The sequence below is a fragment of the Homo sapiens genome, chromosome 1 (assembly GCF_000001405.40).
Source record: "Homo sapiens chromosome 1, GRCh38.p14 Primary Assembly".
NCBI classification, from domain to species: domain Eukaryota; kingdom Metazoa; phylum Chordata; class Mammalia; order Primates; family Hominidae; genus Homo; species Homo sapiens.
The window spans coordinates 27250240-27272395 of record NC_000001.11 but is presented as its reverse complement, the minus strand read 5'-3'; the positions used below and the strand labels follow the sequence as shown (position 1 = coordinate 27272395).

The 22156-nt window shown below is 43.8% G+C and overlaps 1 protein-coding gene across 10 annotated transcripts in view, besides 1 other annotated feature; it reads right to left on the bottom strand.

The window, feature by feature from the left end:
• Positions 1-22156, bottom strand: part of WDTC1 (WD and tetratricopeptide repeats 1) — a 74196-nt gene that overhangs the window by 36241 nt on the left and 15799 nt on the right. For 9 of the 10 annotated variants that reach the window (XM_047449749.1, NM_001410767.1, XM_047449760.1 and 6 more), the window contains exons 2-3: positions 11294-11440; positions 9161-9244 (exon numbers count right to left, since the gene is read on the bottom strand). In XM_047449749.1, the coding sequence (XP_047305705.1) occupies positions 9161-9244; positions 11294-11341 (132 nt within the window). In that variant the 5' untranslated portion in view covers positions 11342-11440. Of the gene's footprint in view, positions 1-9160; positions 9247-11293; positions 11441-22156 lie in introns of those variants that run through there. The other variant, XM_047449768.1, reaches the window with a different exon arrangement.
• Positions 19450-19599: an enhancer, noted in NCBI's record as "active region_540". NCBI's record gives its function as "activates an Ori minimal core promoter by ATAC-STARR-seq in GM12878 lymphoblastoid cells {active_cell/tissue: GM12878}" and the evidence as "EXISTENCE:reporter gene assay evidence [ECO:0000049][PMID:35858748]".

The following is a 22156-nucleotide window of genomic DNA, read 5'->3' as shown; positions in this document are numbered from 1 at the left end:
TGGCTGGGCATGGTGGCTCACGCCTCATCCCAGCACTGTGGGAGTACTTGGGAGGCCAAGGTGGGATCACTTGAGCCCAGGAGTTTGAGACCAGCCTGGGCAACACAGCAAAACCTTGTCTCTACTTAAAAAAAAAATTTTTTTTTTTTAAGACAGAGTTTCACTCTTGTTGCCCAGGCTGGAGTGCAATGGCACGATCTCAGCTCACCACAACCTCTGCCTGCCGGGTTCAAGCGATTCTCCTGCCTCAGCCTCCCGAGCAGCTGGGATTACAGGCGTGCACCACCTCGCACGGCTAATTTTTGTATTTTTAGTAGAGACAGGGTTTCACCATGTTGGCCAGGCTGGTCTCGAACTCCCAACCTCAGGTGATCCGCCCGCCTCGGCCTCCCAAAGTGCTGGGATTACAGGAGTGAGCCACCGTGCCTAGCCTATTTTTTATTTAAAAAAAAAATTTTAGGCCGGGCGCAGTGGCTTACGCCTATAATCCCAGCACTTTGGGAGGCTGAGGCGGGCGGATCACCTGAGGCCGGGAGTTCGAGACCAGCCTGACCAACATGGAGAAACCCCATCTCTACTAAAAATACAAAAATCACCAGGCATGGTAGCACACGCCTGTAATCCCAGCTGCTCGGGAGGCTGAGGCAGGAGAATCACTTGAACCCAGGAGGCGGAGGCTGTGGTGAGATGAGATCATGCCATTGCACTCCAGCCTGGGCAACAGAGTGAGACTCCATCTCAAATAAAATAAATTAAATTAAATTAAAATAAAATAAAATACAAAAAGTAAATTACATGAGTTAGTTGGCATCCCACTTCCCAACTTTGCTGATTTAATTTTACTTTTTGAAAACGTAAAGTCTCAACATGGTTCTAAAAGTAAACAGGCATGGTGGCTCGCACCTGTAATCCCAACATCTTGGGAGGCTGTGGCAGGCAGGTCACTTGAGGCCAGGAATTTGAGACCAGCCTAGCAAACATAGTGAAACCTTGTCTCTACTCAAAATACAAAAATTAGCCAGGCATGGTGGCAGATGCCTGTCATCCCAGCTACTCAGGAGGTTGAGGCACATGAATTGCTTGAACCCAGGAGGCAGAGGTTGCAGTGAGCCAAGATCACGCCACTGCACTCCAGCCTGGGCAACAGAGACAGGCTCTGTCTCAAAATAAAAATAAAATAAATAAAAGTAAAAACTACAAAAAGGTCCACAGAAGAGTTACTCACCTTTCTCTACCCTTCTACCTTATACCTCCCACCCGCTGGAGTGACCAATTTCATTAGTTTCTCCTTATCCATCCTGTGCTTCTGTTTACAAAAACCATGCAGGTGCATATATCAATTCTTATTCTCCCTCCTTTGTTACACCAAAATTGGCAAAAATTATATTAAAATGGCCCTCAAGCATATGGAATATATATTAAACTTCATTCATAAGAGAAATGTAACTTAAAACTATACTGAGACACTTTTCACTAGTTAGAATGATAAAAAAAAATTCAAAAGCTCAACCATACAGTCTACTGATGAGTTATGGAGAAACAGGCACATTCATGCATTGCCAGTGGGAAGACAAAATGGTGCAACTCCCATGGTGAAGAATTTGGCAACATCTGTTTTTATTGTTTGTTTGTTTGTTTGTTTTTGAGATAGGATCTTACTCTGTTGCCTAGGCTGTTTTATTATTTTAATTTTTAATTTTTTGAGGGAGAGTCGCTCTGTTGCCCAGGCTGGAGTGCAGTGGCACAATCTTGGCTCACTGCAACCTCCACGTCCCCCCAGGCTCAAGCAATTGTTGTGCCTCAGGCTCCCAAGTAGCTGGGACCACAGTGGTGTGTCACCACCCCTGGCTAATTTTTGTATTTTTAGTAGAGACAGGGTTTCACCGTGTTAGCCAGGCTGGTCTTGAACTCCTGAGCTCAAGGAATCCGCCTGCCTTGGCCCTCCAAAGTGCTGGGATTACAGCACTTGCCCTAATTATGCCTCTTAAATGTCTCTCAAATCCACTGACTTCTCTCCATCCAAATTACTGTTATTTTAGTTCAGGTAACCCATCACCTCTTCCTGAATCACTGTCATAACCTCTTAACTGGTTCTGCCTGTCTCCAGTTTAAACACCTGCAATCTATTCTTCATTTTGAAGCCAACATTAATTTTTTAAAAAGCATAACTCTGCTCAGGTATGGTGGCTCATGTCTGTAATCCCAGCACTTTGAGAGGCCAAGGTGGGTGGACTACATGAGCCTAGCGGTTCAAAACCAGCCTGGGCAACACGGTAAAACCCTGTTTCTAACTAGCTGGGCATGGTGGTGCATGTCTGTAGTCCCAGCTGCTCAGGAGGCTGAGGTAGGAGGATCACCCAAAGCCCAGGAGGTCAAGGCTATCGTGAGCCATGATCGCATCACTGCGCTCCAGCCTGGGTGACAGAGCAAGACTCTGTCTCAAAAACAACAACAACAACAACAACAACAACAACAACAACAACAAAGGCCGGGCGTGGTGGCTCATGCCTGTAACCCTACCACTTTGGGAGGTCGAGGCAGGCGGATCACAAGGTCAGGCGTTCAAGACCAGCCTGGCCAATATGGTGAAACGTCGTCTCTACTAAAAATAGAAAAATTAGCCAGGAGTGGTGGTGCACACCTGTAGTCCCAGCTACTCAGGAGGCTGAGGCAGAATTCCTTGAACCTGGGAGGCGGAGGTTGCAGTAAGCCAAGATTGTGCCACTGCACTCCAGCCTGGGTGACAGAGCAATTCCATCTCAAAAAAAAAAAAACCGAAAAAAAAAAAACAAAAAACAAAAAAAAATCTGATCATGTTGCTCTTATGGTCAAAACCATTCAATGACTCTCCATTGTCCATCGTCTTCCACGTAGCTTACAATATCCTTCATTATGAATAGCCCATCCACACTTACCTCACCAACCTCATTTCTCATCCCTCTTCCACTTGGACTTTGTGACTAATTGTTCTCTTGAACTGAGTATTCTCTATTCTCTCTTGCCACACTCATATGTTAGCCTAACGAATTTACTGTTTTGTACTTTTTTTTTTTTTTGAGGCAGTCCCACTCTGTTGCCCAAGTTGGAGTGCAGTGGTGTGATCATGGCTCACTGCAGCTTCAACCTCCTGGGCTCAAGCGATCCTACTGCCTCAGCCTCCCAAGTAGCTGGGGACTATAGGCATGTGCCTCCACACCTAGCTGATTTTTTTTTTTTTTTTTTTTTTTTTTTGGAGAAACAGGGCCTCCTTATGTTACCCAGGCTGGTCTTGAACTTCTTTCTGGACTTGCCATCCTCTCATCTCAGCCTCCCAAAGTGTTGGGATTTACAGGCGTGAGCCACTGCACCCAGCCTACATTTTTAATTTAAAAAAGTATCTTGGGCTGGGCGCAGTGGCTCACACCTGTAATCCCAGCACTTTGGGAGGCTGAGGAGGGTGGACCACCTGAGGTCAGGAGTTCAAGACCAGCCTGGCCAACATAGTGAAACCCCATCTCTACTAAAAATACAAAAATTAGCTGGGTGTGGTGGCGTGCACCTGTAGTCCCAGCTACTTGGGAGGCTGAGGCAGGAGAATCACTTGAACCCGGGAGGCAAAGGTTGCAGTGAGCCAAGATTGCGCCACTGCACTCCAGCCTGAGCGACAGAGTGAGACTCTGTCTCAAAAAAACTAAAAAATCGGCTGGGCGCAGTGGCTCACACCTGTAATCCCAGTACTTGGGAGGCCGAGGTGGGTGAATCACGAGGTCAGGAGATCGAGACCAGCCTGACCAACATGGTGAAACCCCACCTCTACTAAAAATACAGAAATTAGCCAGCCATGGAGGCACACGCCTGTAATCACAGCTACTTGGGAGGCTGGGGCAGGAGAATCACTTGAACCTGGGAGGCGGAGGTTGCAGTGAGCCAAGATCACGCCACTGCACTCCAGCCTGGGTGACAGGGCAAGACTCTGTCACAAAAAAACCACAAACAAACAAACAAACAAACAAACAAAACCCTAAAAAATTAAATTAAAAAAAAAAGTATCTTGAAAGCCAATCTGTTATCTCTCTGGCCTATAACTCTGCACTCATCTGTGAAATCTCTCTTTTTTTAAGTTTTCATTTTTGATGGTATAGAGACAGGGGTCTTGCCATGTTGCCCAGGCTGGTCTCGAACTCCTGAGCTCAAGTGATCCACCTGCCACAGCCTCACAAAGTACTGAGATTACAGGGGTGAGCCACCATGCCTCGCCTGTGAAATTTCTCAAAATGATGATGAACACATTGGGGTTTGAGAGAGAGTATTTGTTGAGCATTATGTTTGATATAAGACAGAAGGAGTATGATAGTAGCAAAAGTTGGTACAAACACCATGGAAGGCAATTTTGGTAATATTTATCAAAATCACAGATGTGTATATCCTCTGACCTACAAATTCCACCCTAGGTATTCGTCTGATAAGAGATATAACCACATGTGCCAAATGATGTCATAAGGAATGACCTTGTACATGCAAAAAATTGTAAATAATCTACATGTCTATTGGTATGGATAATTTAAGTAAATTATGGGTCCACATACACAACAGAACACTCTGAACCATGAAAGAATTAGAAATTAGAAATATGTATGAATATGGCAAAATTATGAAAGTATCTTTTTAAAGATACTTCATTGTTTTAGACCTTAATTTTTTAGTAAGTTGTTGATTTTCTTACTGAAACAGCAAATATGTTAGGCTAACATTTGTGAGAAAAGGTAAGAATTTTATGCATAAAATTCCTCTGAAAGGATACTAAAACTCATTATATTAGTCAATTCCACGTAACTGGATTACATAGCTGGGAAAAATAATGAGGAGATGACTTTTTAAACTTTTGAATTTGAACCATATGAATATTGACCTATTAAAAAATAAGGTGAGTGGATCACTTGAGGACAGGAGTTTGAGACCAGCTTGGCCAACTTGGCGAAACTCCATCTCTAGCAAATAAAAAAATTAGCTGGGTGTGGTGGCACACGCCTGTAATCCCAGCTACTCAGAAGGCTGAGGCACAAGAACTGCTTCAGCCCAGGAGGCGAGGTTGCACTGAGACGAGATTGGCCACTGCACCACAGCCTAGGCGACAGAGTGAGGCCCTGTTGCCAAAAAAAAAAAAAAAGAAAGTAATCCAAGTTAACTTGGAGGCTTTTTAAACTGTCAGCTCTGTAGGTATAAATTCTATCAACATACAGGAAGGGTAACAAATATCAAGACTAGCTAAAGTCTGAATTTTAAATGGACATAAAATGTAAACTATAAAGTCAAAAAGTAAAAATCAGACCAGATTATTAAGGCGGAAGCTACAGAAATCGCATGGTTGAATAGGGATAAGGTTATGAAAGCTACCTCTAACGTGGAAAAACAAAAAAGTCAATCACACCAACAGGTTTTTATTGAGCATCTACTAAATGTCTGACACTATCTCATAATAGTTCTCTTTCAGCTTCCCTTTGCATTTTTCAAAAGCATACAGAGTAGAAAATTGGAAAACCCAGGAAAAAATGTTTTGCCCAGATCATAAAGAAAACATAACCAGTAACCACCAAAAGGCAGCAGCTTTTACTGTTGATCTTCCCTCTTATCCCACCCTTACCTCCCACTAATCACCTTTTCTTAATGCCAAAGATAAACTATTATTGACTAACATGAGGTCCATATGTGACAATGATGGAAATAAAACAGGGAAAGAAATGACTGAAGAAGTTTTAAATAGCTAGATGCCATCAAATCACCATCTTGGGACTGGCGTCTTAGGAAACTTTAAGAGCTTTCCATAAATAACAACAATAATAGCAGCTAATGTTTGTTGTGTGCCATGGACTTATACAATATACTGGACACTGTGCTAGGTCCTTTACATAAATTAACTGACTTACACCTAAGAGACATTATTTTACAGATGAAGAAATGGCCTTTAGAAGTTAAACAACTTCTCCAAGTTCATATTGCTTATAGAGGTATTTTAATTACTATTTGGGGTAATGCAAATAGTATTCCCTCCAACTCCAAACCAGGAAAGAGGAAAACAGATGGCTTTTTGAGAGTTAGACTGTAAAAATCAACACATTCAAGCTTTTTCTCCTCCTTGGCTACCGTGATACCATGTTCTCCTCAGACCTCCATGGCTATTCTTTCTGTCTTCAGTGGGTAGAGGAAGAGGAAAAGTAGGTACTCTCTAAATGCTGAAACACCTTGGTTCTTGGTCCTGGACCCTTTTCTTGCTCCTCCTGCTTTTCCCCCAGGCAATATTATTCAGGCATCCCATTCCATGGCTCTATAGAGTAGTGGTTCTTAACATTTCCAGTTTCAGGACCCCTTTACGCTATTAAAAATTACTGAGGATCCCAAAGAGCTTTTGTTTATATGGGTGATATCTGTCAATATTTATCATATTAGAAATTAAAACAATTTTTTTTTTCTGAGATGGAGTTTTGTGCTTGTTGCCCAGGCCTAGAGTGCAATGGCGAGATCTTGGCTCACTGCAACCTCCACCTCCGGGGTTCAAGCGATTCTCCTGCCTCAGCCTCCCAAGTTGCTGGGATTACAGGCACACACCACCATGGCCGACTGATTTTTGTATTTTTTTGTAGAGATGGGCTTTCTCCATGTTGGTCAGGCTGGTCTCAAACTCCTGACCTCAGGTGATCCCCCTGCCTCAGCCTCCCTAAGTGCTGGGATTACAGGTGTGAGCCACTGCGCCCAGCAATTTTTTTTTTTTTAAACAGGGTCTCACTCTGTCACCCAGGCTGGAGTGCAGTGGCACAATCACAGCTCACTGCAGGCTTAACCTCCTGGGCCCAAGTGATTCTCCCATTTTAGCCTCCCAAATAGTTGGGACAAGTATGCACCACCATGCTTGGCTAATTCATTTTTTAAAAAATGTTTAGTAGAGACAAGGTCTCGCTATGTTGCCCAGGCTGGCATATTCTTAATTCACTAAAAAACAACAATAAAAAACACATTTTAGATGAAATAACTATATTTTCCAAGGCAAAGAATTTAATGAGAAGAGTGGCATTGTTTTACATTTTTGCAAACTTCTTTAATGTCTAGTTTAATGGAAGACCAGTAGATTCTCATCTGCTTTTGTATTCAGCCCATTGCAATGTCATTTTTGGTTGAAGTATATGAAAAAAATCCAGCCTCACAAAGAAGCTGGAATTGGAAGGAATATTTGAATAGCCTTTTCAGGTAACTGTGTATATCTTTCTTTGATACTATGCCAAAACTCAACAAGTACTAATTTCTTTTAAGCTTACAGTGTGGGCTAGGCACAGTAGCTCACACCTGTAATCCAAGCACTTTGGGTGGTTGAGGCAGGTGAATGGCTTGAGCTCAGGAGTTTGAGACCAGCCTGGGCAACATGGTGAAACCCTGTCTCTACAAAAAAATACAAAAATTAGCTGGGCATAGTGGCATGTATCTGTAATCCCAGCTATTCAGGGGGCTGAGGCAGGAGGATCACTTGAGTCCAGGAAGTTGAGGCTGCAGTGAGCCATGATGGCACCACTGCATTCCAGCCTGGGCAACAATGCAAGACACTGTTTCAAAAAAAAAAAATTAGATTCAAAATGTGATCTTGGCTGGGTGAGGTGGTTCACGCCTGAATTCCCAGCACTTTGGGAGGCCAAGGTGAGAGACCTGTTTGAGGTCAGGAATTGGAGATCAGCTTGGGCAACACAGCAAGACTCCAACTCTACCAAAAACAAAACAAAACAAAACAAAACAAAACAAAACAAAGACCCACAAAACACATGATGTTGAGGAAGAAAAGAGAATGGAACCAACATTATGGAGTCTCTATGTCAGACACAATGAAAAAGCTGAATTTCTGGACCAAAGATCTGGCCTATCCATGGACAGGACAGGACAAACTTGAACAAGCGTTCTGGTTTTTGGTTTTGGTTTTTTTTTTTAAACATTTTATTATTTCATTTTAATTTTTAGAGACAAGGTCTTGCTATATTGCTCAGGCTGGACTTGAACTCCTGGGCTCAAGCAATCCTGTCTCAGCCTCCCAAATAGCTGGGACTATAGGCATGTGTCATTGAACCTGGCTTTCTTTTATTTTTTTCTTTTTTGAGACAGAGTTTCACTCTGTTGTCCAGGATGGAGTGCAGTGGCACTATCTTGGCTCACTGCAACTTCCGCCTCCTGGGTTCAAGCAATTCTCGTGCCTTAGCCTCCCAAATAGCTGGGATTACAGGCATGCACCACCATGCCTGACTAATTTTGTATTTTTAGTAGAGTTGGGATTTCACCATGTTGGCCAGGCTGGTCTCAAACTCCTGACCTCAAGTGATCCACCCTCCTTGACCTCCCAAAGTGCTGCGAATACAGGCATGAGCCGGTCTTTTTTTTTTTTTAAACACCTATTCTCAGTCTACATCCCTACAGCATTGCTTTGATGCTAAAATAAGAAAGTGTGTGTGTTTGTGTGTGTGTGCACGTATACATTATGTGTATATGTATATGTATATGTATACGTATATGTATATGTATATGAAAACACTATAAATTCTATATTCCTGTATACGGGTAGGAAATCTGTATTCACTGCCCAAGCCAATAGTAAAAATAGTGGTATGGAATTGAACAAACTTTTTTAAAGCAAATAATATGTCCAAAAAAATAATTTAAGGCCAGGCGCGGTGGCTCACGCCTGTAATCCCAGTGGGAGTCCAAGGCGGGCGGATCACGAGGTCAGGAGATCGAGACCATCCTGGCTAACATGGTGAAACCCCGTCTCTACTAAAAATACAAAAAAATTAGCTGGGCATGGTGATGGGCGCCTGTAGTCCCAGCTACTCGGGAGGCTGAGGCAGGAGAATGGTGTGAACCCGGGAGGCAGAGCTTGCAGTAAGCAGAGATCGTGCCACCGCACTCCAGACTGGGTGACAGAGCGAGACTTCATCTCAAAAAATAAAATAAAATAAAAAAATAATAATTTATATGTGACTATGTCAATTGCTGATCTTGATTCAGATTTAGTTGTCTACTGAAGGAGAAGTAACTGTCAGATATGGCCTGCAGAGAAACACTTGTTTATGCCTTGATAAGGCCAAGAGGATTTCTGCAGGCAGAGAATGGACAGCAGGCCATCTGCATCTAAGGTGCAAACTGGATCTCTTACCTGCAGCTCTGCTTCCAGGCCCAGCCGCCGGATAAAGGGGTCAGTGACATGGTAGCGCCGCTCAAAGCTCAGGGCACCCCGCTCCTAGGGGACAGAAACAAATTCGTGATTTCATTGATTCAATTAAATATGATTTATTATGTGCCTATTATATATCCAGCTCTTTCCTGGGCACCACAGGAGCTAAAGAAGACAACAAGGAACTGGCCTACAGGACTTTGTATTATTCTGGGGCAAGGATTAGAGAAGAATAGAAGACAGTAGTATATAATTAAGCACTAAGTTGTGCCGTTCATTTTTTTTTTTAAAGAAAGCAAAAAATTTTTAAAAAGGAAAGAAGAAAAATTGGAAACAATGGGGAATAGTTCCATATTTAGGTTGGACAGGGTGGGCATCATCTTTAGGACACATATTGCACACAAAGGGAAAAAAAACCCCTGCTGATTCCATGCCTCTAGGAAATGGCCCCTGTCTTTGAGGACCACTCAGTCTAATGAAATCACACACAAAAAACTTCCACAAATGGACAAAGCTAAAAGGATTCAGGGGCTGGGCATGGTGGCTTATGCCTGTAATCCCAGTACTTTGGGAGGCCAAGGAAGGCCAAGGAACCTGAGGTCAGGAGTTCAAGACCAGCCTGGCCAACATGGTATAACCCCATCTCTACTAAAAATACAAAATTAGCCAGGCATGGTGGCACGTGCCTGTAATCCCAGCTACTCGGGAGGCTGAGGCAGGAGAATCACTTGAACCTGGGAGGTGGAGGTTGCAATGAGCCAAGATCATGCCACTGCACTCCAGCCTGGGCAACAAGAGCAAAACTCCATCTCAAAAAATAAAAATAAAAATAAGATAAATAAAAGGATTCAGGGATGCAGGGAAAAATACACAAATATGCCAAGTACATGGCTCATGTAGAGGCACATACTCAATCCTTCTAAATGGTGACCACAGCTTATGCTGCATGCCACTTGATTTTTTAAAAATTTTTAGTTAAAAATTTTTTTAGGTCAGGCATGGTGGCTCACGCCTGTAATCCCAGCACTTTGGGAGGACAAGGTGGGTGGATCACGAGGTCAGGAGATCAAGATCTCCTGAGTAACACGGTGAAACCCCGTCTCTACTAAAAATACAAAAAATTAGCTGGGCGTGGTAGCATGCGCCTGTAGTCCCAGCTACTTGCGAGGCTGAGGCAAGAGAATCACTTGAACCTGGGAGGTGGAGGTCGCACTGAGCTGAGATCACACCACTGCACTCCAGCCTGGGCAACAGAGCAACACTCTGTCTCAAAAAAAAAAAAAATTTTTTTAGTACTTTAGTACTTTTTAAGCACTTAATTTGTCAAACAACTTTCTCAAGCTCATTCAGATTTCATTCTCAAGGTCAGCCTACAGGCAGATGGCCATTATCATCATTTAACAACATAAAACTGAGGCACAGGAGGTAAAATGACTAAAGACCTATAGTTAGTTAATTAGGGCAGTGGTGAGATGAAGCTCCTGACTCCAGCTGGGGATTCTTACCAGTGCTGGAGCACATCATGCCTTGGTTTAATGTATTGCATTAAACCTCTATGGCTCCTTTTCTGAGGGTTTCTCTAACAAAGCCTGGGGCTACTTCAATAACTGAACTTGACTGCCCAGTCATCCATTTATCTCACAGGTATCAGAGTGTCTTCTACATACAAACTGCAGAGGACAGGCTTTAGCACAGGAGAGCCTCAAAGAGAATACAAGCTGAACTGGGACTAATACTCTCCCAGGATCTCTTACATATACAACTTGGCAGCTGGAGCAACATGAAGAAGTTATATTTGCTCTTGTGCACCACCTGCCCAACACAAGGATGTGTATGTATCTGCACAACACATTGACAGCTCCCCTCCCTTGCCAGCCTGCATTAATCTCAGCAGCCCAGGCACAAGTATGTGGACAGAGTCTCCATGAAATCCATGTTCTTAGACAATACAAGATGGAGAGAAAGAGACCTTGATTCTAGTCCTGGGTCTGCCACTAACTAGCTACGTGACTTTAGGCAAGTCACAGACTATAGATTTCAGTTTTTTCATCTGTAAAATCAATCTGTGGGAAAGAAAAGATCTCATGATCTGGTGCAGAAGTCTGGGCTGCTTACCTTGATCTGCCTACGGATGAGGTCTCTAGTTATGTTGACTTTCGCCATCTTTTCTTAATGGTTCAACAGAAGGAAGCTATAATAGGATCTTCAGGACCCCTGAGCATTCCAGCCAAGCCCAGGTCCACAAAATACACATTTAATTACCTGGGGGAAAAAAATCATCAAACTTTGGAGGATGGATAATAAAGTGACTCCCAAGACCTAATTCCACCCCTAAAACAGCCCACCCAGTGAAGTGGCCCTTGCCTGTCATTTGTGGCATGGTGGGCTGGCCCTGCTCCATAGTGTTGAAAAACCTCTGGAATGGGTGAAGTGGGTGGGGAGAACAGTAGCACATCCCAACAAGCATTGGAACAAACACGGAAGAAATATGTTATGCTTCATCGGAAAATGGCAGGTTGTGTATAAGTATGAAGGATAATGGTAGCATATCCTTAAAGTTAGAACAAGGCAAAGCTAGAAAGACATCAAGTTTCACTTGCTCAGTAGGCATCTGTGGCAGCTCGTCTGAACTTTTAGTTATGCTTCAAATCTCTGATCCTCAGCTTGGCTCTCCCCGAAACCAAATCAGTATCACAGACAGAACTCTCAAGTCTCCAGTAGATTCACAGAATTAAACAGTGTAAAGGAAATGTAATGGTGACCGTGTCCAAGACCCAACCTAATAAAGAAATCCTTCTTTAACATCCTCGTAGGGCCGGGCGCGGTGGCTCACACCTGTAATCCCAGAACTTCGGGAGGCCGAGGTGGGCGGATCACAAGGTCAGGAGATCGAGACCATCCTGGCTAACATGGTGAAACCCCGTCCCTACTAAAAATACAAAAAAATTAGCTGGGTGTGGTGGCGGGTGCCTGTAGTCCCAGCTACTCGGGAGGCTGAGGCAGGAGAATGGCGTGAACCTGGGAGGCGGAGCTTGCAGTGAGCCGAGATTGCGCCACTGCACTCCAGCCTGGGCGACAGAGCGAGACTCCATCTCGAAACAAAACAAAACAAAAAAACAAAAACAAAAAACAAAAAAAATCCTGGTAGGTAGGCTTTTAGTCTCACTACTCTTTTTTTCCTGAGACAGGGTCTCACTCTGTCACCCAGGCTGCAGTGCAGTGGCATGATCATGGCTCACTGTAGCCTCAACTTCCAAGGCTCAAGTGATCCTCCCATCTCAGCCTCCTGAATAACTGAGATCACAGGTGCACACCACCTCTCCCAGCTAATTTTTTCTTTTCTCTCTTTTTTTTTTTTTTGTAGAGATGGAGTCTCGCCATCTTGCTGAAGCTGGTATTGAAATCCTGGGCTCAAGAGATCTGCCTACCTCAGCTTCCCAAAGTGCTGGGATTACAGGCATGAGCCACTGCGCCTGGCCTAGCCTTACCACTTGTTGAAGCAACCTGTTCCTGTGTTATACAACTCTGATTGTTAAAAATAATAAGCAATTCTATTTCTGAGGATTTGCCATAAGAAAAAGAAAAGTCAGGTGTGGTGGTGCAGTGCTGTGCACCTGTAGTCCCAACTACTCAGGAGGCTGAGACAGGAGAATCACTTGAGCCCAGGAGTTCAAGCCCTCCTTGGGCAACATAGCGAGACTCTGCCTCTAAAGAAGGAAAACAATTTTATCATAACAAAACTCAAAATATGGCTGGGCAGAGTGGCTCATGCCTGTAATCCCAGTACTTTGGGAGGTTGAGGTGGGAGGACTACTTGAAACCAGGTGTTAGAGACCAGCCTGGGCAGCAAAGTGAGACCTTATCTATACCAAAAAAAAAAAAAAAAAAAAAAAAGTTGGGCATGGTGGCATGCGCCTGTAGTCCCAGCTACTCAGGAGGCTGAGGTCGGAAGATCACTTGAGCCCGGGAGTTTGAGGCTGCAGTGAGCTATGATGACACCACTGCACTCCTGCCTGGGTGACAGAACAAGACCCTGTTTCTAAACAAATTAAAAATAAGTAAAATAATAAAAAGAAAACAATAGCTCTCTTTGGTTAATGATATGACTGACTTTTTCTACTTTTTAATATTTTCAAAATTATTCTATAAAAGCACACTAATTTGTAATCAGATTTAAAAATACTAGACTTTCAAGGAAAGTTCTGCCTCCTGGCATTTTCACCTTTTAGTCCTGGTTCCACCTCTGAAGCCACACAGAAGTTTAGTCTTTCTTCCCAATGATGGCCCTTTGTGCTCAGAAGACGGCTCTCAGGGTTTACCAGTTCTCTCTGCCAACCCTGCCAGTCATTAGGACCTCACAGGGCTACTTTTCAATCTCTCACCAGCTGGCCTCCTCTACTGAAATCACGTTTTTCACCTGATCTGTGAGCAGACTCCTTCCTTTCCTCTGTCATTTAACCACAAAAGAAGACTCGACACCTAAACATTATGTTATTGCAGATTTTGTTTTCCTTTAGTGCTAGGCATGCAGTAGGACAATAAAAAAAACTCGCTGCCAAATTAGATGTTCTCATTCAGTCCGAGTTCTTTGGGGCTAACGCCTCCATAATCAATTTTGGGATAACAAGCTCTTTCTTTCTTTCCTTCCCTCCCTCCCTTTCTTTTCTTTTTTTTTCTTTTTTTTTTTTGGCAGAGTCTTGTTCTGTTGCTCAGGCTGGAGTGCAGTGGCATAATCTTGGCTCACTGCAACCTCTGCCTCCTGGGTTCAAGTGATTCTCATGCCTCAGCCTCCCAAGTAGCTGGGACTACAGGCACCTGCCACCACGCCAGCTAGTTTTTGTATTTTTAGCAGAGGCAGGGTTTCACTATGTTGACCAGGCTGGTCTCGAACTCCCGACCTCAGGTGATCCGCCCGCCTCAGTCTCCCAAAGTGCTGGGATTACAGGTGTGAGCCACAGTGCCCAGCCATTTTTTTTTTTTGTAATTGAGATGGGGCCTCATTATGTTGCCCATGCTGTCTCAAACTCCTAGGCTCAAGCAACACTCTCACCTTGGCCTCCCAAAGTGCTGGGATTACAGGCATGAGCCACCGTGCCTGGCAGGACCATAAGCTCTTTAAAAGACAAGAACCGCCAGGCGCAGTGGCTCATGCCTTAATCTCAGCACTTTGGGAGGCCGAGGCGGGCGGATCACGAGGTCAGGAGTTTGAGACCAGCCTGGCCAATATGGTGAAACCCCGTCTCTACTAAAAATACAAAAATTAGCCAGGTGTGGTGGCACACGCCTGTAGTCCCAGCTACTCAGGAGGCTGAGGCAGGATAATCATTTGAACCCGGGAGGCGGAGGTTGCAGTGAGCCTAGTCTGCACCACTGCACTCCAGCCTGGGTGACAGAGCAAGACTCTGTCTCAAAAAGAAAAAACAAACAAACAAAAAAACAGGCAAGAACCTTCCCTTACAACATGAAACCATTCAGCATTGCCATCTTAGTGTCATTACCAGGGAGATATGGCAGTCGCTGGCATTTTTAAGAGTAAGCATCAAGAACACCAGGAATACCAGCTGAGAACTATAGTTTCATGATGATTTTTGCAGGAGTCTTTGGCCATCAGATTAAAAATGTGAATTTGAACAAATTAATGTAAGCTAAACACTAGCCTGAAATGGCATCTATAGCTCTGCTTTGTGATATACTGGTCAAAGCCAAACAACAACAGTAATTTCCCCACAAGCACCAAGAATATGAGGTGAGGATGATTACATTGGAAATAACACCAAAGAAGTGAGTATATCTGGTATTAAGAAAGAACAGTTGTGTGGCCTTGCTTAAGTCTCTTAATCTTTCCAAGTAGACACTCATTCCTGTGACTCACAGGCATAGGACGCATTGGAACAAACACTGACGGGGTTACGTACGCTTCACCCGAAAAAGGCTCATTCCTTACCCCCAATACCCTTTTCCTTAGAAGGCTGCTGTGGAGCTCAAATGAAACAATGTAAGTCAAAAGGTTTTTAAGAATATAAATATTTTTATTTACTAAGAAATATATGTTGCCAGGCCGGGCACGGTGGCTCACGCCTGTAATCCCAGCGCTTTGGGAGGCCGAGGTGGGCGGATCACGAGGTCAGGAGATCAAGACCATCCTGGCTAACATGGTGAAACCCCGTCTCTACTAAAAATACAAAAAATTAGCCGGGCGTGGTGGCAGGCGCCTGTAGTCCCAGCTACTCGGGAGGCTGAGGCAGGAGAATGGCAGTGAATCCGGGAGACGGAGCTTGCAGTGAGACGAGATCGTGCTACTGCGCTCCAGCCTGGGCAACAGAGTGAGACTCCATCTCAAAAAAAAGAAAGAAATATATGTTGTCAAATATTAAGCACTTACTATGTGCCAGGCATTGTGCTGAGGGTTTTACAGTCATTCATTCAACAAATGAACATAAGGAGCTTTTACTACATGCCAGGTGCTGTTCCTGGCACAGAATGAAGGGATATATCAATGAGCAAAACAGGCAATGTCCTTGCTCATGGTACTTACATTCTAGCAGGAAGGGACAGACAATAAACAATGAAATAAATAAAAATAAGAAAATATCCAGTAGTGGAAAGTGTATGATGGCAATAACACAAGTTGAAGTGACAATAACTGGTGAGCTACTTTTAGACTTCAGGTCAAAGAAACTGTAGTGGACATTTGTCGAATTTTCTGGCTTCTCAGCATTTGAACGCTTCTTATATTTTGGGAATTCCCCTTTTGAGTCTAGTGGGAAGCAGAGCCCCTTACCACTATAAAGTGAGAAAGGAGGTGACTGAGATTCTCTTTCTGAGGCTCCCTTGCAGCTACAATGTGAATATATGGCCCAGGCTATGCCAACCAGACACATCACCCCTAAACCCTGAACTGGGATCTAGTGTCTCAGAGTCAGAGGACCACAGAGAGTTCACCTGGAGTGTAGCAAGGGGTGGCCACAGTGGCCATTAAGTCCAGTGCAGCAGGTGGTGTTAGCTGTGTAAGTAGTGGTGGCAACAGTGTGTTCACCAGGCTGAGTCTATGAATGATTTTAGTCGTGGGTCCTGCCTATTGCCCAGTTTCTCTTGTTTTAGCATTCTTCAAGCATGACTCTATGACCTTCCCTGATGTTTTGTGAATTTCCTTAATATCTTTTCAATAATCAGCCAGAGTTGGTTTCTGTTGCATACAACTACAAATCCTGCCTGATAGAGAGGGGTTCTCTGAGAAGATGACATTTAGGCTGAAACATGAATGACAAGCAGCAGCAAAGAACTGGGGGAAAACCACTTCCAGGGAGAGAGTGCTAAGACCCCAGAAGAAGAGTGGTTCAAAAAGTTTTGGCCGGGTGTGGTGGTTCACGCCTGTAATCCGAGCACTTTGGGAGGCTGAGATGGGTGGATCAACTGAGGTCAGGAGTTCAAGACCAGCCCAGCCAACATGGTGAAACCCCATCTCTACTAAAAATACAAAAATTAGCTGCGTGTGGTGGAGCATGCCTGTAATCCCAGCTACTAAGGAGGCTGAGGCAGGAGAATCGCGTGAACCTGGGAGGCAGAGGTTGCAGTGAGCTGAGATCGTGCCACTGCACTCTGGCTTGGGCGACAGAGCGAGACTCCATCTCAGCAAAAAAAAGTTTTACGGGCTGGTCCAAAGGTACCAAGTTATCTCAATTGATTATTCACAGTTACATATTGAACTCCTTGTTCTACTGTTTCCCCTCTTGTCACTACTGCACTTGTCTTAAACAAAAAAAGCTTGTAGGGTAGATGCTCTTACTGTCATAATTTTACATATGAGGAAACATATTCATAGACATGCAACAATTTTCACAATATTACACAGCTAAAACTGGAGATGGAACAGGAACTCAAACCCAGGGCCATGTGATTCCAAAGTCCATTCTCTTGACAACTATGGTATGTAATTTCCTAGAGTAGCAATCACTATGAGAATCCACCAAAAGAGCCCACTAAATTGCCATGACTTATTCATTAATTTTCTTAAAATGTTAATGGGGTATTTACCTAGCACCAAGCACTGTGATAGACAAGGAGGAATAATGAGATGAAACACATAGTAGCCATACTAAGAAAGCTCAGTATCAAAGAGAAGGGGTTTTTAGCTAAGACTGGTGCGTGGCTTGGAAATACTAAAAGGAACAAAAATGGGGGGAAAAGAGAAACCAGACAAGCAGGAAACCACAATTCAGGTAAATGGTAAAATGGAAGTTGGGATCAAATTGGTAGACAGGTTTAAAAAAAAAAAACAAAATGTCAAATTTGGCTAGGCACGGTGGCTTACGCCTGTAATCCCAGCACTTTGGGAGGCTGAGGTATGCAGATCACCTGAGGTCAGGAGTTCAAGGCCAACATGGTGAAACCACATCTCTACTAAAAATACAAAAAAAATCAGCCAGGCGTGGTGGTGCATGCCTGTAATCCCAGCTACTGGGGAGGCTGAGGCAGGAGAATCGTTTTAACCTGGGAGGCGGAGGTTGCAGTGAGCCGAGATTGCGCCACTGCATTCCACCCTGGATGACAGAGCGAAACTCCGTCTCAAAAAAAAAGTCAAAATTTAATACAACTGATGCCTACTTAGCATTCTTTTTTTTTTGAGACAGAGTCTCACTCTGTCACCCAGGCTGGAGTGCAGTGGCGCGATAGCTCACTGGAACCACTGCCTCTCAGGTTCAAGCGGTTCCGTGCCTCAGCCTCCCAAGTAGCTGAGATTACAGGAGTGCATCACCATGTTTAGCTATTTTTTATGTATTTTTTGCAGAGACAGGGTTTCGCCATATTGGTCAGGCTGATCTTGAACTCCTGACATCAATTGATCCACCTGCCTTTACTTCCCAAAGTGCTGGGATTACAGGCGTGAGCCACCACGCCTGGCCTGGTTAGCATTCTGGTGAATATTTCTGCTCCCATCCTGAGAAGAAATGATAGCATACTGGTAGAGAGCTCATCTTGGAGCATGCCTATCTTCTCTCCTCTCAAGAAAAGGGACTCAGTGCCTTTCCACAAGCTTTTACAGGCAGACAAACTAACTAGAAACACTTTATTTTAAAAAATCATTTTGTTTTTTTCTTTTTTTTGTTTTTGTTTTTAAAACTGGAAACACTTCTAAGTAGAGATTATTTAAAAGGTTCACATCGGGAAGGAAATACCCTTAAATCTACCAAGGGGCATAACAAGTTTCATACCTCAGTCCAAAAGTCTCTCAAACACAAATAATCAGATCAATAAATCAATAGTTATTCGAGGATGAGAAGATTTAAACATGATCAAATTTTAAAAGCATTATTTTAAGGAGGGCTTTGAGCTCAGATATAAAATGACATGAATGAGAGATTTGGATTGACACAATAAAGTTACATATATGATTAAACACTAGAAAAGACTACATCAAGGGGATTTCTACCTGGTGCAGTATGCAAATTACATAATGTTCAGTTCTGCTAAGAGGCAAAAAGGCTGAAATTAGTGACTAAGAATTCATAAAATAAAATTTTCAATGTCTATTTTGCCAGGCACTGTGATAAACTTTGAAAATATAGCAGATGCCTGAATGTGGCGGCTCACGCCTATAATCCCAGCATTTTGGGAGGCAGAAGTGGGAAGATCGCTTGAGGTCAGGACTTCGAAACCAGCCTGAACAACACAGCAAGACCTTGTCGGTTAAAAAAAAAAAAAAGAAAGAAAGAAAGAAGAAGAAAGAAGAAAGAGAGAAGAAGAGGAAGAGGAAGAAGAGAAGAGGAAGGAGGAGGAAGGAGGAGGAGGGAGGAGGGAGGAGGAGGAGGGGAGGGGGAGGGGGAGGGGAAGAAGAAAGAAGAAAGAAGAAGAAGAAGAAAGAAGAAAGAAGAAAGAAGAAGAAGCAGAAACAGAGAGGAGGCCGGCCGGGCGCAGTGGCTCACACCTGTAATCCCAGCACTTTGGAAGGCCAAGGTGGGCAGATCAAGGAGGCCAAGGTCAGGAGATCAAGACCATCCTGGCTAACACAGTGAAACCCTGTCTCTACTAAACGTACAAAAAGTTAGCCAGGTGTGGTGGCACGTGCCTGTAGTCCCAGCTACTTGGGAGGCTGAGGCAGGAGAATCACCTGAACCCGGGAGGCGGAGGTTGCAGTGAGCCGAGATTGCACCACTGCACTCCAGCCTGGGTGACAGAGTGAGACTCCATCTCAAAAAAAAAAAAAAAAAAATCAGAAAGAACAACATGAATTAATAAGTTAAACCTTCTCTATACTCATTTGTTCCTACATCTTAGAAGCACAAAAATGACAGTGAGGGAAATGAACTAAACACATCATAGTAGAATAAGAAAGACAACTTAGAAAACTGTAATGGAAAAAAGGGACCACAGGGACTATAACAGACCACAAGTAACTTTTTTTTTTTCTTTTTCTTTTTTTGAGACGGAGTCTCGGTCTGTCACCCAGGCTGGGGTGCAGTGGTGCGATCTCAGCTCAATGCAGCCTCCACCTCCTGGGTTCAAGCAATTCTCATGCCTCTGCCTCCGGAGTAGCTGGGATTACAGGCATGTGCCACCGAGCCTGGCTAATTTTTGTATTTTTTGCAGAGAAAGGGTTTCACCATGTTGCCCAAGCTGGTCTCGAATGCCTGGCCTCAAGTAATCTGCCTGCCTTGCCCTCCCAAAGTGCTGAGATGTGCCTGGGCACAAGTAACCTTTAACATGTATTCTTCATTCTAAAGAGAGCACAGTTAACAATATACCCTGATTTGCATACTTGAAGCTCTAATAACATTAATGGCTCATTTGTCTGCAGAATATAAAAGCTCAACAAAAAATTTCTCGAGCTAGAGGACAAAGGTTTTTTAATTTTATTTTTGTTTTTTGAGACAGGATCTCGCTCAGTTGCCTAGGCTGGAGTGCAGTGGTGCAATCACTGCATCACTGCACTCTAGCCTAGACCTCCCCAGCTCAAGCAATCCTGCCACCTCACCCTCCTGAGTAGCTGGGACCACATGTGTGTGCCACCATGCCCAGCTAATTTTTAAAATTTTTTGTAGAGACATGACCTCACCATGCTGCCCAGGCTGGTCTCCAACTCCTGGGCTCAAGCAATCCTCTCGTCTCAGCCTCCCAAAGTGCTAGGATTACAGGCATGAGCCACCACACCTGGTAGGTTTTTTTTATTTTTGAGACAGAGTCTTGCTCTATCACCCAGGCTGGAGTGCAGTGGCGCGATCTTGGCTCACTACAACCTCTGCCTCCCGGGTTCAAGCAATTCTCCTGCCTCAGCCTCCCAAGTAGCTGGGATTACAGATGCCCCCACCATGCCCGGCTAAGTTTTGTATTTTTAGTAGAGATGAGGTTTCACCATGTTGGCCAGGCTGACACACCTGGCAGATTTTGATTTGTTTAATAGAGACAGGGTCTTACTCTATCACCACTATATAGTGGTGCGATCATAGCATACTATAACCTTGAACTCCTGGGCTCACACAGTCCTTCTTCCCACCTCAGACTCCCAAGTAGCTAGGACTACAGGCATGCACCACCATTCCCAGCTAATTATTGTTTTTTCCTAAATTCAGGGTCTTGCTATGTTGCCCAGGTTGGTCTTGACTGCCTGGCTAGCTTCAAACAATCCTCCTGCTTCAGCTCCCCAAACTGCTGGAATGACAGGCATGAGGCACTGTGCTCCGGCCCAAAGGTCTACTATAAGTTAGGATATTGTGGACCAGCTCTAGTAGATACTCAATGAATTAAGGAGAAAGAAAGCAGCTGATTTCTGGGAGCTGAGATTATGAAAAATATAAAAATACTTAAGGCACAGAAGAAGACACAAGACACAATGTTACAAAGAAAATATGAGTTGCTATGCAGATGTTACACCTCCCAAAAGGTATTCTATTCCTGGAGCTCTAAAATGCCTAGCATATCACCATGTAACCCCATCATTTCTATAAACTTTTAACTTAGAATACTGGAAAACTTTCTTCTATAAGCCTATCTCTATGATTTTAAAGGATACTAACAAGAAAATAGAAGTCTGGCTAGGTGTGGTCGCTCACACCTGTAATCCCAGCATTTTGGGAGGCCAAGGTGGGCAGATCACCTGTGGTCAGGAGTTTGAGACCAGCCTGGCCAATATGGTGAAACCCTGTCTCTACTAAAAAAAAAAAAAAAAAAAAAAAAAAAAAAAAAAAAATTAGCCAGGAGTAGTGGTGCACGCCAGTAATCCCAGCTACTCAGGAGGCTGAGGCAGGAGAATCGCTTGAACCTGGGAGGCAGAGGTTGCATTGAGCCAAGATCACACCACTGCACTCCAGCCTGGGTGACAGAGTGAGACTCTGTCTCAAAAAAGAAAAAAAAAAAAAACAAGTCAATTAACAGCTCGATTTGGAGGAATTAGTCTAATCATAATGCCAAGGTGATCAGTAATATAATAGCCTGAGGTTAACATGACTTAGAACAAAGTACATTTGTGAAGATCACTCATCTAGAACCAAGAATTGAATGGTAATATCCAAATATGAAGAACCACTCCTTTCATGTGTGCTATAGTCCTTGTTTGGCTCTGGATAACGCAGCAGAAAGAGAAAAACATATAATACTTAGGCACCTGGGCCTGAATTCCAGCTTCCCCCTCAGTGTACCAATTAGTACCTACATAGGGAAGTTACTTAAATTTTCTGAGTTTCAATTTCCTCATTTGTAAAATGGGGATGCTAACACCTACTTTAATGGGTTGTTGTGAATACATGATAAAATATATATGAAAATACATAACAGGGCTGGGTGTGGTGGCTCACGCCTGTAATCCCAGCACTTTGGGATGCTGAGGTGGGTGGATCACCTGAGGTCAGGAATTTGAGACCAGCCTGGTCAACATGGCAAAACCCCGTTTCTACTAAAAATACAAAGTTACTTGGGAGGCTGAGGCAGGAGAATCGCTTGAACCTGGGAGGCGGAGGTTGCAGTGAGCCGAGATTGCACCACTGC